Genomic DNA, 1,437 nt, shown 5'->3' with positions numbered 1-1,437 from the left:
CGGCCTCACTTCCCGTACCTCTCCAATGAGCCCAGGAGCCGGCCTGTAAATAGCGGGGCTGGTTGCTGTGGAGACAGTGGCCTCACTTCTCACAAGCCTGGCTTGTAGATAGCAGGCTGGCTCCTGGGCTGGTTGCTGTGGAGACAGTGGCCTCACTTCCTGTGCTCCTGGCTTATAGACAGTGGGCCAGCTCCTGGGCTGGTGGCTACAGCTTGTATCTCCAGGCTCTGTGTCCACAACTGGTCTGGGCTGGTGGCTACAGCTTGTATCTCCAGGCTCTGTGTCCACAACTGGTCTGGCTGTTGTCCATTTGCATATCCAGGCTCTCACCACTGCCGATGGCTTCTCTGGCCTCTTATGAGCCACATAACCGATGTAGCCCTCTGTTCTTTCATGTGTAAAAAGTCAAGGGTGCAATGTACATGATCTCTGAGATATCTGCCAGTTCTAAAATTCTATAAAATAATTAAGTTGCAAGAAATTACAACTTTATGTCCACTTAGGTCCCGGGTGGGCCCCTGCACAGAAGCAAATGTTTGCAGGCTCTCCTTGCTCTGTTCGGAGGCTCCTTCAGTTTATCGCAGACCGTTAGGGTCCTGGGAAGACAGCTTGGACAGACTCACCTCCCACAGAAGGATGCTGAGGTCCAGAGGAGGGAGGGGAGTTGCAGGTCCACCCTGTACCATACGACTCCCAGCCCAGGACGAGCGGGGCCAGCACTTCCCAGACTGGAAGCTGTATGCGAAGTCCCGGCCAGGCTCCTGTCTGTGTAGAACCGCCTATAGCGGGGCCTGTGAAGCTGCATTTCTCGGTGCCCAGTCGATGCTGGTGCTGCTGGTGTCCCACCAGGCTTTGAGGAGCCAGAGACTGGACGCTCTGGCAGGTCCTCACGCTGTGCCCCCATGGAGGCTGGTGCCAGGCAGCACGGGGCTCTGCAGCCGACGGGAGCAGACCCGTCTGCATGGAGGTAGACACTGTCAGTAAACAGACCCAGCTACCGAACTTGAAACCACTGGGGACTAATTAAGTGCCTGTGTGAAGATTATAAGCGCAGTGGGAGTTGGAAGGACGCGATCTGTGAGCTCATTGTCCCATGGGAAGCACTGCCTGGCTGTGCTTGTGCCTCTGGACACCTGACTTCATCACAGTCACTATGACCTCTCAGAAAGAAATACGAGTGACATGCCCCACGCCTGTGCTCACAGCACACACTGTGTCTCTGCATCACGAGGGCCGGCTCCAGGTGGAGTGGCTACTTTCCCATAGCCCTCCCGCTCCCACGCCCTCTGCATCCCTGTCCCCATCCTCAGGCACTGGGAGTGAGCCACACCTGCCTGCCTCTCTGTGGCACTGACACTGAGGCTTTTCAGCCCTCTGCTTATCCCCAGCCCCCTAAACTGCTTCCGCCACAATCCCCCTTACTTTGGGGCCTTCTGA

The 1,437-nt window shown here is 56.6% G+C and overlaps 1 annotated feature.

Annotated features, from left to right (window-relative positions):
• Positions 296-1,117: an enhancer, noted in NCBI's record as "H3K4me1 hESC enhancer chr7:155382158-155382978 (GRCh37/hg19 assembly coordinates)". NCBI's record gives its function as "activates a minimal SCP1, AML or CMV promoter by ChIP-STARR-seq in primed H9 embryonic stem cells {active_cell/tissue: H9 hESC(primed)}" and the evidence as "EXISTENCE:reporter gene assay evidence [ECO:0000049][PMID:30033119]".

Source organism: Homo sapiens, chromosome 7 (assembly GCF_000001405.40).
Source record: "Homo sapiens chromosome 7, GRCh38.p14 Primary Assembly".
Lineage (NCBI taxonomy): Eukaryota > Metazoa > Chordata > Mammalia > Primates > Hominidae > Homo > Homo sapiens.
This window is presented reverse-complemented; position numbering and strand designations above follow the sequence as displayed.